Source organism: Homo sapiens, chromosome 1 (genome assembly GCF_000001405.40).
Source record: "Homo sapiens chromosome 1, GRCh38.p14 Primary Assembly".
In the NCBI taxonomy this organism is placed as follows: domain Eukaryota; kingdom Metazoa; phylum Chordata; class Mammalia; order Primates; family Hominidae; genus Homo; species Homo sapiens.
The window spans coordinates 148,973,451-148,988,505 of NC_000001.11; the positions used below are offsets into that span (position 1 = coordinate 148,973,451).

The 15,055-nt window shown below is 36.6% G+C and overlaps 1 protein-coding gene across 40 annotated transcripts in view; it reads left to right on the forward strand.

Moving 5' to 3' along the window:
• The window catches only part of PDE4DIP (phosphodiesterase 4D interacting protein), a 224,583-nt gene that overhangs the window by 165,017 nt on the left and 44,511 nt on the right, over positions 1-15,055 (forward strand). For 34 of the 40 annotated variants that reach the window (NM_001377392.2, NM_001350521.4, NM_001395298.1 and 31 more), the window contains 5 exons: positions 1,064-1,155; positions 4,487-4,603; positions 4,828-4,965; positions 6,287-6,399; positions 7,820-7,947. In NM_001377392.2, the coding sequence (NP_001364321.1) occupies positions 1,064-1,155; positions 4,487-4,603; positions 4,828-4,965; positions 6,287-6,399; positions 7,820-7,947 (588 nt within the window). Of the gene's footprint in view, positions 1-1,063; positions 1,156-4,486; positions 4,604-4,827; positions 4,966-6,286; positions 6,400-7,819; positions 13,022-15,055 lie in introns of those variants that run through there. The other 6 variants (NM_001395317.1, NM_001395320.1, NM_001395321.1 and 3 more) reach the window with 1 other exon arrangement.

Here is a 15,055-nt window from a genome sequence, read left to right on the forward strand (position 1 = left end):
AACAGAACTAGCAATGAATATTTTTAAGTATGTATGTGTGTATTTGTATATATGTGAAGATTTGATACTGATTTCCTTAATTCCAATTTAACAATATAGGTTCTTTTTTCCCTCATTTCATATTTGTATCTCCTTGAGAGCCCTGGTTACTTATAGCATCAATATATTTCAAAATATTTACACAGTTGCAGAATACTATAATATGCAAAAGTATTTTTGGAATTGTTACATAAATATCACCATCAACAATAAATGTATTAAGTAATGTTTAAGATTTTTTTGTAATTCTTTTTATCCTTAGGATATTTTGCACTGACAGTGTTCAGTTAGAGTAGTAGTGAGTTCAAAAATTATTTGGATTAATTTTTTTATTATCTTCTGGATGGTTTTGTTATCTATTTGCTATATAGATTTATTTATTTATATTAGTATTCAATTTTAGACCTTTTCTCTCTCATTCATTGTCAAACTGACTTACACATTAAAAATTAAACATTTACACAGTTCAAAACTCTAGTATATAAAATGATATACTCAGATGTCCAATATTTTCCTGTTCCTTCTCTCCTGTTTCCACTCATCTCCTGCAGGTAATCAGTTTCATTTCTGGGTTATTCTTCCTGTATATCTTTTTGCAAAAATAAGCAAATGAATCATCTGCGTATATGTAATGTATATATGTACATTCTTATTTCCCCTTTTTCCTAATAGAAAACCTACTACTTTAGATGTATTCTTAAGCACATAGCTTGTTTTTACTTAACATATTCTTAAAATCTCAAAATCACTCCATATAAATTCATAAAGATCATCCTTATTCTTTTTTTACATCAGTATATAGTGCCATCTGTGAATATACTATAGTTTATTCAATCTTTTCTTTATAGCATCTAGGATGATTGCAGTATTTTGCTATTATAAATAATGCTATAAAGAACAACCTGTGTGTATGTTTTCTTTTTTCTTATTATTGGAATGTGTCCTCTGTAAATTACTCAAAGGAGGCAGCAGATACCACATTATGTTAATAGCAATTAAAACTAGTGCTATATTTTCATTTTAGGAGACTTGGACACAGTTGCAGGGCTGGAAAAAGAACTGAGTAATGCCAAAGAGGAACTTGAACTCATGGCTAAAAAAGAAAGAGAAAGTCAGGTGAGTTTTTTAGTTAAGTCTTAATTCCAAAATCCCTATTATTTTTTTCTTTCAAAATAGTTTATATTTAAAAGCATATAATTCTCCATGTATAATATCTGAGTCCAAATGCCAGGTATGACTTTTTTCTTTTTGGAGAAAAATATAAGTTATTTTATATATACATTATCTCAAAAAGATGCTCCTGTTTTTAGATTGGGACCATTAAAACTTATTAAATGCTGGAAAAACGTAACCCTCTCTCCCCATTGCTAACTGGAATAAAATAATTGTAAAGGCCGGGTGCAGTGGCTCATGCCTGTAATCACAGCACTTTGGGAGGCCGAGGTGGGCGGATCACTTGATCCGCTCGAACAGGAGTTCGAGACCAGCCTGGCCAATATGACGAAACCCCGTCTCTACTAAAAATACAAAAATTAGCCAGGTGTAGTGGCGGGCGCCTGTAATCCCAGCTACTCGGGAGCCTCAGGCAGGAGAATCACTTGAACCCGGGAGGCAGAGGTTGCAGTGAGCTGAGATCGTGCCATCACACTCCAGCCTGGGCAACAAGAGCAAAACTCCGCCTCCAAGATAATAATAATAATAATAATAATTGTAAAGCACTGGTGAAAAAAGGAAGCGCTGTGTGATTGCTGCTTAGAGTTATGACATTAGATCCGTGAAATTAGATTTAGAAACATGAAACGAGAAATTTGAGTATAATCAGTGTTTATCAAGTATTCATGTGCAATGTACTGTGCTAGGTATTTAAATTAGCACTAATGCTCACAACTCTACACAAAGTAAGTGGTGTCGGCCCAATTATTATAGACGAAGAAGCTGAAACACTGATTTCTCTTTTAAAATGGGAGTGGAGAATAGTCATGTAACTAATAAATGCCAGAGCTATGATTCAAACTCAAGCCTTTTGTGACTTCACATACTTCCTAAGAAGATTCATTTCCTAGAGCACATTTTTCCCACCTTATGCTTTAACTCGCTCTAGCATAGAGTTCTCTTCAATTTTTTTTGGAAGAGGCCTTTCAGCCTTAGAGATTCCCTTCCCCCTGCCTTTCCTCCACAGCTAGTTGCATATTCAACTATGATGTTGAAGAAATACTAGGACCACAGCTCAGAGTTACAGACTGAAACTAAAAGCTTGTTTGTTACTATGCTGGCATCTCTTTTAGAAGATCACTCAATGTCATGGCTTCCTAAATTCAGTTTAGCTAGCTAGTCCAAATAGCTCTTAGTTTTTTTCTACCTTTTGCCATAGCTAGATCTATAATATAAAACCTGTGTTTGTATTTGTGACAGAATTATCATATTTTATCTTTTGATTTCATTGTCATATTTCTGCTTACAAACAGACTCATGTTTTATGACTCAATTAGTTTTCAGGATATGAGAATGTGTGGCATTTAAGAAATACCAGTTTTAAAAATCCCCTAGTCCCCCTTCCTTTTTGTGGTTCTACCTTAGCCATTATCTGATTATTCATGTCAGATATTTTAGTTTCCACATCCTCTTCCTGTTTTTCTCACATTTATCAAATCCAGAGTAATGTTACTTTTTGGTTCTGTCCTGTTTTCAGGATCATGAAATTGTAATGCCTATGAATGGGTATTTTGGGTGATATTTAGCTATTGCTAAATTCCTTTAAAGGTTTTATTTAAAATAACTTGTCTTACCATAAAGATTGTATGGATATGTGGTATCTACAGGAAAGATATTATAGCCTAGTGGCTCTGAGTCAGCTTCCCTGAGTTCACGTTCTGGATTTACCACTTACTAGCCAGCCCTGTGATTTTTGAACAAGTTTCTTAATTTCTCTCAGACTCAAATCACCTTGTCTGTAAGTTGAAGAGTAGAAGAAGTCACCTTATGTATAAATAAAAGAGTAGTTATCTCATAGGATTGTTGTGAGGATTCACTCATTCATTCATTAGCTATATGGGGACCTTCTCTAAGCTTGGGCTAGTGCTGGGGATGAGGTAGGTAGTGAATGAAATCAGTAAGGTCTGTGGCTCTGTGTAGTTAATTTCTATTGGGGAGATACAGACAATAAATAAATAAACATTATAGTTATAGAGTATAGTAAGTGATATGAGGGAAATGATAGAAAGCAACATGGATGGAGACCATCTTAAATAGGGTGGCCAAAGAAGGCTTCTCTGAGCAGATGACACGTAAGCTGGGACCTAAGGATGAAAAGGAGGCAGCCCTGAGAAAGATATTTCAGGCAAAGGGAGTAGTTGTAAAGGCCGAGTCAAGAGAAAGTCTGGTGTTCCTGGAACAGAAAAAGTCTAATGTGCCTACAGAGTCATGAGTGAGCAGTAAAATGGCAGATATTAAAGTAGGAAAAGTAGGCAGGAGCCAGATCACTAGGTTTGTTAAAAGGATTAAATCTATACAAAGCATTTATTAGAGAGCCCAGGGCATAGTAAGTGTTAGCAGCTATGGTTGTTATCATGATTTTTTTTTTGAGATGGAGTCTCGCTCTGTTGCCAGGCTGGAGTGCAGTGGCACGATCTTGGCTCATTGCAACCTCTGCCTCCTGGGTTCAAGCGATTCTCTTGCCTCAGCCTCCTGAGTAGCTAGGATTACAGACACACACCACCACGCTCGGCTAGTTTTTGTATTTTTAGTAGAGATGGGTTTCACCATGTTGGTCAGGCTGGTCTCGAACTCCTGACCTCATGATCCGCCCACCTCAGCCTCCCAAAGTGCTGGGATTACAGGTGTGAGCTACCACGCCTGGCCTATTATGATTTTTAATGAAGTTTGTCATAACCAAGTACTTGTCATTTTCTGATGAGAACACTGAAAGTTTAGGGCATGTAGTGCCAACTTTTGGCAGTATTTCTTCACAGGTGGTGGCGTGTTCTTCCATCAGGAGTCATGTAATGTTTGGTGATCTCTCGTGATGTTAGCAGCTGTTGCTGTTTGATGCCTTATCCCTTAATTCATTAAGGGTTGCAAAATGGAGATATCCTAATGCTATCATTTTTTCATCTGTTAGGTGAAGTTTTACTTACATAAAAACTTCATCTCTTCTTGCTTCTGCTAATGGTAACCATTCTTTTTCAGTATCATAATAAGCTTGTTAAACAAATTTGATGTGTTTTATAGTGCCAGCTAAAGTAGAAGACATCATTAAGAACAACTATGACATCTTCCCATAAAACTTCCTTTGTTACTATACTGCATGGATTATTGGTTTGATGCTGTAGAGCCCTATTCATGTTCTCATTTTCTTTTCCATTACTGGCTGATAGTAATAGGATATGCAAAAGCATTTGCCTCAGTGTTAAAATGTAAACATGGCAGACATTGTTTCCTCTTTTCACAGATGGAACTTTCTGCTCTACAGTCCATGATGGCTGTGCAGGAAGAAGAGCTGCAGGTGCAGGCTGCTGATATGGAGTCTCTGACCAGGAACATACAGATTAAAGAAGATCTCATAAAGGTCTTTCAAAACTTTTTAAAGACCACTGGAAATGTTCACAGCTCAGAATACCTGTAGGGCCTCTTCAGACAATATTTGCACACATCGAATCCCTTGGCCAGTGATTATCCATATCCCACTTGAAAGTATAGGCAGAATATTTCAAGACATTTGTTCCCGTGCTACTCTGCTGAATAATCCTTTTATTACTATTTTCACATCCATACTTATTTTTTGACTTCTAGGACCTGCAAATGCAACTGGTTGATCCTGAAGACATACCAGCTATGGAACGCCTGACCCAGGAAGTCTTACTTCTTCGGGAAAAAGTTGCTTCAGTAGAATCCCAGGGTCAAGAAATTTCAGGAAACCGAAGACAACAGGTAAGTTACTGGAATATAAACCTTATTTATTTATTTACATTTTTTTGTATTCTTTTTTTTTTTTTTAGTAGAGATGGAGTTTCACCATGTTGGTCAGGCTAGTCTTGAACTCCTGACTGCAAGTGATCCATCCTCCTCGGCCCCTCAAAGTGCTGGAATTACATACAAGCATGAGTCACCACATTGAGACAAGGTCTCACTGTGTCACCCAGGCAGGAGTGCAGTGGTATGATCACAGCTCACTGCAGCCTCAAACTCTGGGGCTCAAGGAATCTTCCTGCCTCAGCCTCCTGAGTAGCTGGAGCTGCAGGTGCACACCACCACGCCCGGCTCAAACCTTATTTTTCTACTGTGAAATAAACCATGGTAAAGCTGTCAATCTCAGCTATTTGTGGAGGGTTAGTTGATGGTATTTCCTAGAGAAACTGTGCTCTAAAATTTCCTACTTTGGTCGGTAGCAGCTATAGATGCCCCTTTCTGACATTTGTAGTTCTGAAAAGAGCAGCAGTTCTTTTGGACACATACCAATAGTTATCCCTCACACTCATACCTAAGTCACCTCCCTCAACTGAATCTTTCTCTTTTATCTGCATTTAACCATGTTCAGATCTCTCCCAGTTAAAAAAAAAAAAAAAAGAGAAAGAAACCCCTACATTTGCCCCAAATTTCTCTGTAGCTACAGCCCCATTTAACCTTTCTTCAATGCCAGACTTTTCCAAAAGACTTACTTGCCTGTACTCCCTGTCTCCATTATCATCTGTCTCACTAACTACTCACCCCACTGCATTCTGGCTTTTAACTGTACCTTAAACAACTCTGTTGATTATACATTGTCATAGCTCATTATCTTTATAGCACTTATTACACTCACAATGACACACATCTATGATTAATGAATGTCTTTTTCCTCCACTAGATAGTAAGCTTTCCCCTAGAACCTAGAACAGAGTCTGTCCCGTAGAACGTGCTCAGTAAATATTAATTGAATGAATGAAGAATACTAGTAAGTCCTATTATATACATTTCCCTCTTGTCCATCCTGTTTCCCTCTTACTCCTTTTTCTTAGCTGCTTTCCTGTGCTTCCAGCTTCTCTCTGCTTTTTCTTCTTTTTGCTCCCATGTTTGAATTCCACCTTACAGGTTTTAAAGATAAAAAAAAGATAATATGACATTGATTTGAAAACTATAAAATAGTATCAAAAGCTTAAGTACTAAGATAGTGGGCTTTTTAAGTCATAGTACATGCTAATGCATTTTCTTGTTTCTTATTCATGTCTCACTGTGCCATTTGCGTATTGCTTCCTCTCTCTTCTTTACTCAGTTGCTGCTGATGCTAGAAGGACTAGTAGATGAACGGAGTCGGCTCAATGAGGCCTTACAAGCAGAGAGACAGCTCTATAGCAGTCTGGTGAAGTTCCATGCCCATCCAGAGAGGTAAGAGAGAGGCTGTTTTTTCTTTTATTCTTTATTGAAATTTTTATTTCTTTTACTATTGTATTTATGCCTTTTATTCTTCATTAAGTGCAGATGCTTATGATACTGAAGAGGGGAGAAAAAAGAGGGACAATTACCGGGGCTACCCACTTTGTCATTTGTTTTATGGATTGCTCTGAGCCTCAGTGTCAAAATCTTAAGTTGGGATTAGTGCCTGTTTCACACAGCTATTGCAGAGATTAAATAAGAAGACAGCTTTTGTGTCTAAAACAATGCCTTGCATGTAGTAAGCACTCAATGTATGTTCATTTCTTTTCTGTGATCCATGTCCTGTTAAAGGCTGTTCTATTATAAACGTAAGGCTATGCCCTGTCTCTACTAAAAATACAAAAATTAGCTGGGTGAGGTAGCGCGCGCCTGTAGTCCCAGCTACTCGGGAAGCTGAGGCAGGAGACACACTTGAACCTGGGAGGCAGAGGTTGCAGTGAGCTGGGTTCACACCACTGCACTCCATCCTGGGCAACAGAGCGAGACTCCGTCTCAAAAAAAAAGAAAAAGAGTAAGGCTATAATGGGCACTGATATTCATTTAATATCATCAAAGAAAATATATTAATTGGGATGGCTAATATCATCCTGGGACCACCAATAGCTATCATGATGAATATATTTTTCTTCTACCTCTTGATTTTTGGTCACATATATGATACCTCTCTGGATCATTTTATATTCTCTTCATTTTTGTTTTCTCATTTTGCCTTCCCTACTAGCCCCTTTTATTCTTTTTCAATTTTTATTATTATTATTATTTTTGCTATTCAGTTTCTTGTAATTTATTGTTGGGCTTTAAAAATGTTTTCTTTCTACCAGGAAAATGAAGGCAGAGGAAAGGTATGATAGGACCAGTTGATTGTGTTACTTTTTAAAGAACCTCTGGAGCTTTAGTTTTTATGAACCAGATTCCTTTTCAGCACACCATCCCACCGTCAAGTTTGGTAACAAATGAGAAAACAAATATCTTCAGTAGTGGTTCTACTTGGCTCAGTCTTGCTCCAGTTTATATTTAGTTTGTCCTGGGTTTTAGTTTTTCAGAAACAAAAGCTTTTAGCCAAATAATGAAATTTCTCTTGTTTGGGCTATAGGGGTGTGAGATAAGTCTTAGGAGCTATAATTTTATGTGAAATTGGCCCAGAATCTAGCATAAGGGGCAAGCTTTTAAAAAAAGCAACAGTCCTTACTAATCTATCAGCAGTGAACACAAATGCCACACAAAGACTACATTCATTTATTGTGTCCTGGAGAACAATTACTTTACAAAGTCGTGTGGCTCAAAGTGGTATTGATGGTTCTTTGGAAACAAATGTGGACTCACTACAGTTGATGGCTAATCCACTTTCCTTCCATGTGGCATGTTTAATCAGCTCTGAGAGAGACCGAACTCTGCAGGTGGAACTGGAAGGGGCTCAGGTGTTACGCAGTCGGCTAGAAGAAGTTCTTGGAAGAAGCTTGGAGCGCTTAAACAGGCTGGAGACCCTGGCCGCCATTGGAGGTGGGGAACTGGAAAGTGTGCGAATTCATCACAAGCATGCCTACTGAGCACTGGCGGGTCAGACTGCAGCCCAGGATGGAAAACCTTGTTTGCACTAACCAGAAAGATCCTTGTCTGATTTTGGCAGAATTAAACGGTGACTTACTAATGATAGAACTGGTACAAGTAGCATCAACTACAAAGTGAAACTCACTTTAGCCTACATGGATCTCACTGTACATACATATCAATCCCTAAATTGAATGGTGGAGGTTGCAAAGTGTATTTGCACATTTTAAATCATTCTGTTTTAGTTTTTCCACTTTTATTCATTCTTATCCCTAGCCCCTTCTCGTTCCCTCATCCCTTCTGTGGGCCAATAAAGTTTATTCTTCCCCAACTTTCACAATCCATTTCATATGTTCCATATCATATCATAAATGCATGTGTGTGTATTATTTTTGCCATTCAGTCAACTCCTCTTTGAGTGAGAGCATTTTTTAAATCAAAAGCATGCAAGTTTTAAGATGAGAGAGCGGGAAAGAGATTGAGAGTCTATAAGAATGACTTTGCAAAAGTGATATAATCCTTATCAGAAGGTAATCAAAACCAGGAGAGTAGTCTTGTAATAGTAGACTGCAAGTATTGGGAAGGCCAAGTTAAAGAACAGAGGCAAGAACTATGAAAGTGATCATAGTCAACTTTTATCTCCAATACTGTCTCAGAGTTGACTGTTGTACACAAGTGAAATTAGATTAGGTACAGATTAAATTCTACTTAAAATTTGTTCTTTATTGATTCCTTTAGGTTTCTTTAAACCAAGCTCATGCTATTTAGTCAGAACATGACTTCTAGAATGGTCTTCCAGAGTCAGAATTCTCTGTTTACAAAGATAATTTCAAATGTAGTATCCCTCTTTACATTCAGTGTTTCACCAAATAACTCATTATAGCCAGAAGAGGGTATTGCTTCTTTCATTTGTGGCACTAGATAGGGTCCTATGTTTTTCACTATTTAGTATGTATACATTTCTCCATATAACAGTAATAGGCTTCAGGCTTTGAAGTGCTAGAATAGTTTAGAAAGAAATGTTACAGATGTATGTTTATAGTTTTAATCATTGCCTCAGTGCTTTCTTGTGGCAGCGTGACAGGTATAAGGAGAGGGGCACTGGAGATTGTATTTCTGATGTCTTGAATGTCAAGTGTGAAAAGTAACCAAGATTGCTTTGCAGCTTTGTGAGATCAACATCATGAATTTGTTTTCATTTCCTCTGGTTGGAAGTTTCCTAGGTTAGAAGCTGAGGTTTCAGTTACTTTAAATATGGAATTTGGGAACAGGGATTGAGGCTTTCTAGCACAGTAAATGTGACTGAATACCCTTTCTAAACTAAGTGGGGCACAATGATTTTTTTTCCTTCCATTTTTTTTTTACATGACACTTTATTTCTTTCACATGTTGACATGGCTTGTATTACATTCTAAATTTCATCTGTTTCTGTAACTTTAGCTGTGTCTATAACAGATAGAGCATCAGTCAAACTAGAGTGGACAGGGAGAAAATGCTCTACTGGGGAAGCACTCTGGAATCTTCTGATTAAGTCATTTGCAAAAGATTAATAGCCATAAGCCTTACTCTTAATGGATCTGCCATTTCAGTTTCAATGGCTTTTGAGGAAAAAGGAGTCATTTAAGGAAGGAGATAGGAAGTGTAGGCCGATCCATCCACTTTTCTTAGTCTCCCAATTTTAAGAGACCCTTTCTTGCACAAAATTTTTTGTAACTTTCCATAAGTAAAGAGGAAGGTAATGGAGCCGTAGAAATGTCAACCCATCAAAGACTAGTTTGTCGTGTCATTACAACAAGGCATTTAGGGAACATCTTTCCTTAATTTTACTAATAGACCAACCAAGGAAGCCTTCTGAATCGCTAGTAAGATTCAGCTCTGGGTGATTCTTCATTTCTAATGGCTCATAGTGATTACAGTTTATGTTAATAATCACTCCTACTTCTGTCAACCTCCAGCAAGAGTAAATTGATAGCAGGATAAATTAAAAGTCTGATCTTAATGTCATAAATGTGACTAGAATATGGTACTAACTTTTTCGGGTCTAGATAGCTGGAATGAGGCTTGCAAACAGTGTTATCTGGAGAGAGCTTGCTGGTCTAACAACTTTGTGTGATAATTTGGCATCTGATTAGAGAGCATGAGTCTGATAAATTTTATAATCCACACAGAGATCATGCTGTGGTTGGACACATCATTTAATAATATTTAGCATGATATAATATTCCATTTTCTCTACAGGAGCACAGACTCTTTCTCATACTGGATTATTTTACCTTTGACAGTCATTTTTCAATGACAGTAATTTTAAATAAAGCATCGTGTGCTTATAGAACCTGTGCTTGAGTAAAAATAGTCTTCAAATAAAAATAATGAAGTAAATTTTTACTTAGGCCATGCTTAATTGGAAGCATAGAACTTAAATTGAGAAAAAAATCCATATGATAGATTTTGTTTTTCTCATGCTTCCCTTTTGAATAATAGCAAATAATGCAGAGTAATGGTTCTAAGAGTTCAGGGTAGATGAAGTCTGTAGGTTTTAGAAGTATAGAGTTGAAAAGAACCTCCAAGAGGACTTATTTAATGAGTGAAATAAATGTCCTTAGATAGATATTGTCCCTAAACTCTTTTCTATTGAAAGTTTATAGTATTGAAAATTTGATGATTATTAGTACCTAGTATAAATCAACATTCATCTGATGTTCTCTTTTTAGATAGCCAAGTTATAACTTTTTTGAAAAGACATTATTGGACTAAGTTAGTAGGTCAGCCTTTTCCTTTGATAGTGTGTACTCTTATCTGTCACCCAACCTTCTCCACACCCTCTTCTCTTCATTCAGTTGTGGACAGCAGTAATTTTTTCAGGACCTTTGCTTCTTAGAGGAAATACATTTTTCCTTATTTATATTTTTAAAAGATGTTTCTATTACATTATATATAGCAAGAGATCTATTAAGGATCCAGAAAATCTTAACCTGTAGAGGATATGAGTTCCTCATCATAAGAATTAGTTTCCTTGAGGGTTCTTTAGTATATTCTATTTACACAGTTTATGCATAAGTAAACTCTGTGGCCGATGTACATAAAAAAACCTATCACTTTTATGCTCATTCATCCTCCTAATTCAGTGTCTGGGTCATGAGATGTTTGGTTCATAGCTTCAAAAACTGTTCAAGAAGACTGATTTCAGTTCTCTCTATGTTGATCTTCCAGTTGAATCTGGAGTCTTCTGATTGTGGAAAGGAGTAGCAGATCACATTATACTGAAAATTGTCCTTTTCATTGAGAAATAAAGGTTGACTGAGCTACCTAAAGTCACTTTCCTTTGGACTGTAAGCCTTAGAGAGAACAATAATACCTTTGCTTTTCTTGAGGTAGTATTAGAAAACTCTAGTTCCCATTGATAGGATAAACTTGTTTTCTCGTTTCATGGTCTTTTTATAGAAAACAGTCACAAAATCTTGACATTTGGCATCCCTGAAAAGCTCAAGTGGCCTTTTCAAGTAGGGTATCATGTAGTATTCTGCAGGTTTACAGTCAGTATCCTGCAAGGAAAGGTGACAAACTTCCTGTGAAGTTAGGAAGAAATATTAGTAACCCACACACTTGAAGTGAGTTTTCCATTTTACCTTGTAGAAATTGTACTAGAGATAGAACAAATGAAATTAGTTTTCTTTTCCAGGTATATCCTGTGAGATACCAGCACAGAGTATTTTCTCTGAGTTCTCTCAGGGTTAAAGCTCAGTGAGCTTTTCTTTTCTCTTTGGTAGTGTGGAACCATTTGTACCGTAGAAAGAATAGCTGGAAATATGGAACTCCAATGTGGCAATACAGTAATAAACAGAAGGAATGAGTCAGTAGGATAATATATTCGAGTGATTTCTGTATATTTCAGTTATAATGTTTTTTATATAGTGTATATTTCAGTTATTTCAGTTATAATGTGTTTTAGAATGTGGATTTAAGCCACCTTCTCACCCTTTGCACCAGTAGCTTTGTTAAAACATTTTATTATGATCAAATAACAAGCCTGTTGCTTTTAAGTAATCTAAGTATTAACAGAAGGTAAGTCTTCAACTTCTCCCTGTTCTCACCTGGGCCAAGATCAATTTTCTAAATAAAAAATAGCTTTGTAATTTGTCTCCAACAAAGAATGGGAAATGGAAGGGAACACAAAACTGTGGTCCTGACAATACTAATTCTACCCGTTTTCAAATAAGAATAATTAAACTTATAAAGTGATATACTGATTATTTTTGTGTTACTCTCCCTTTTTTTTGTTTAAAGTCAAATTCCAGAAGTAAAAATCTTTATCATACTGTTTTCCTCTTACTAAAACTGGAAGGGTAAAATAGAAAGTTCAGCAACATCAGAAAATGTTGTATTTAAAATAATATGGAGAATAGGGGTTTTAAGTACATAAACCATATTGGCTTCCTTGTAGGTTTACTTTTAGTATATAACATGAATATGTAGTGCTTCTTTTTACAATAATCAAAGTCATAGCTCCAAGATATTGACCTCTTTCTCAATCTATAACCTTTGTAGGCATGCATTTATACCAGCATGTTTTATAAATTATGAGTTTCTATCTGTGTCCATGAAGTCTTACTAGTTTTCACTTAAACTTTTGTGGGTTGTTAAGAAGAATTAAAGTGATTCATAACTTCACGCTTGAACCTGGGAGGTGGAGGTTGCAGTGAGCCGAGATCATGCCATTGCACTCCAGCCTGGGCAACAAGAGTGAAACTCTGTCTTAAATAAATAAATAAAGTGGTTCATAACATCAGATGAAGAAGGAGGTGAGTGATATGTTAAATGATCAGAAACTTGGCATTACATTATTTCCAGGACCATTTCCCTACCAAAGCTGTGTATTTTTCATTTCTTCATGGCACTGTGCTGTTAATTTCTGTTAACATTTGTGCTAAAATGGAGTGTAATTTTTACATATAAGTGTTAGAATTTTAGCTATCTTAGTTGAAACACAAAAAGTTGTTACTGATCCAATAAAATTATCAAAGGCCAACAGAAACTATTTGGTTTTATTCTTAAGATATTTATAAAAAAAGTAGAGAAAGCTTGTATCTTTTTTTTCCTTATGGGAGAATCAGTCTATTGATTATTTACTAAATTCCAAGTCAAAGCAAGGCTCGTAGAATGAGTCTTTAACTAAAGGAAGGAAGAAGAAACTCGAATTTTTCTCCTCTCGAAGAAGTGAGACTAAAGAAACAGTGTTATACTTTCCCCGGAAATGTCACATAGGCTACTTTACCTTAAAAACCCTCCTTGCTTTCTTTGCTGTAGGAGAATAGCAGAAAGCACGACAGAGGTTTCAGGAGCCAACTGTGGTGGGTAGTGCTGTCTCTAAACATTCCTAGAAAAACCTATTTCTCGTTTTCTTTGAAGAATAAAAGAGACCATGAGCAGGAAGAATTTCTTGACATTACAGAATTATGGCATCACAAAATAGGTGCAGTGGTCATATCTCCTGGTCTGCCTGGGAGTCCTAATTTACATGTGCCTTGGTTAGCCTAAGGATAGAAGACTGTAGTTGTATTGAATAATTACCCTTTTGGAGAAGTAGAAACTCTTTCCAGAATTTTAATGGGATTTCATACCCCCAAAAGTATTTTAGATTATGATTTGGCCTTTTCAAGTAACTTAAAACAGCTACTTTCTGAAACATGTGAGCTGGAAAGCCCTAAGGCTACTTAAGAGATGTTGCAATTTAAAGACAAAGATACACCATAAAGGGGTTTGACTGCAGACAGCAGTTTTCTACCACTTCTGTTCCACGATCAGAATCTGTCTAGATAGAGAATTTTATTTCTTAGCAGAAACTATGGAGGACTATATGGAATCTTAATAGTTTTCTTATGATCCTGAAGGGAATGTGTGCAGGTGAAATTGTAGTTTGATAGGAGGCCTCTTTTCCTTGATTCTCTCCATAACATTACAGCACCATAACATTAAAGTCAGCAATAGTTGGTTCATGACGTGAAAATGTGAGCGTTCTTGTAATGAACGCATGGCAGTGTACCTGGGAGTCAGAGTGAAATTGGGCTGAGAGTATTAGACACAAGGGCCCGGTACCGAAGGAAAGAACACTTGGCACTGCCAACTTATTCATGCTTAAAGTTTTAGTTCTTCAGATCACCTTTTAAAATTAATAAAATATGATCTCTTGCTATGTTCTAAGTAACTATATGGAAAAACATCACTCCTTTTCTGTTTATCCCATATTAGTGGCTTAAAGGAAGATAATGACTACAGAGTAGAATTGGGGGGAAATGGTCTTGACTCCACCCAGTTTGGACTCATTACTAAAGAACATGTCATGAGCCAGGTGTGGTGGCATGCACCTGTAGTCACAGTTACTTGGAGGCTGAGGTGGGAAGATCCCTTGAGCCCAGCAGTTCAAGACCAACCTGGGCAACATAATGAGACCTCATCTGTAAAGCAAAATAAAACAAAAAAAGAGGTCATGAAGTTCCCCCTAAGGCTTATTTGTGCATGTTGGAGTTTTAAGACAGTTATCATTTAATGATGATTAGTCCTTTTTGTAAGGCACCTATTCCAAAGAGTTCAGCCAAAGAGTTGTCACTCCTTACCTTTTCAATGTCCTGTGAGGCAGAGAGCAAAGAGTGTCATTTCAAGCCTCCTGCTGGGGAAACAAGTATTCAGAAATGAAGAAGTGCAGGTAGAATCAGTCAAGATCATTCAGATAGTAACATCAAGTATAAAACTTCCTTCTGCTGATGCTATTTAGGTTCTGTGGCCTTCAACTTTCTCAGTCTTCAACTTATAAGCCCATGGACTACTTCAGTTTACTTACAATAACAATAATAATATTGTTTAAGGATGGTATTTATTGAGTACACACTGTGTACCAAGCACTGTTCTAAGCACTTCAAAATCAGCAAACCCTTTAAAGTTCACAACAGTATGGAGTGGGTAACACTCTTAACCCTAATTATTAAATGAAGAAACTTAGTTATGGAAAGGTTATGACTTGCCTGAAGTGACATAACTAACAATAAAAGCACAATTCAAATCAAGA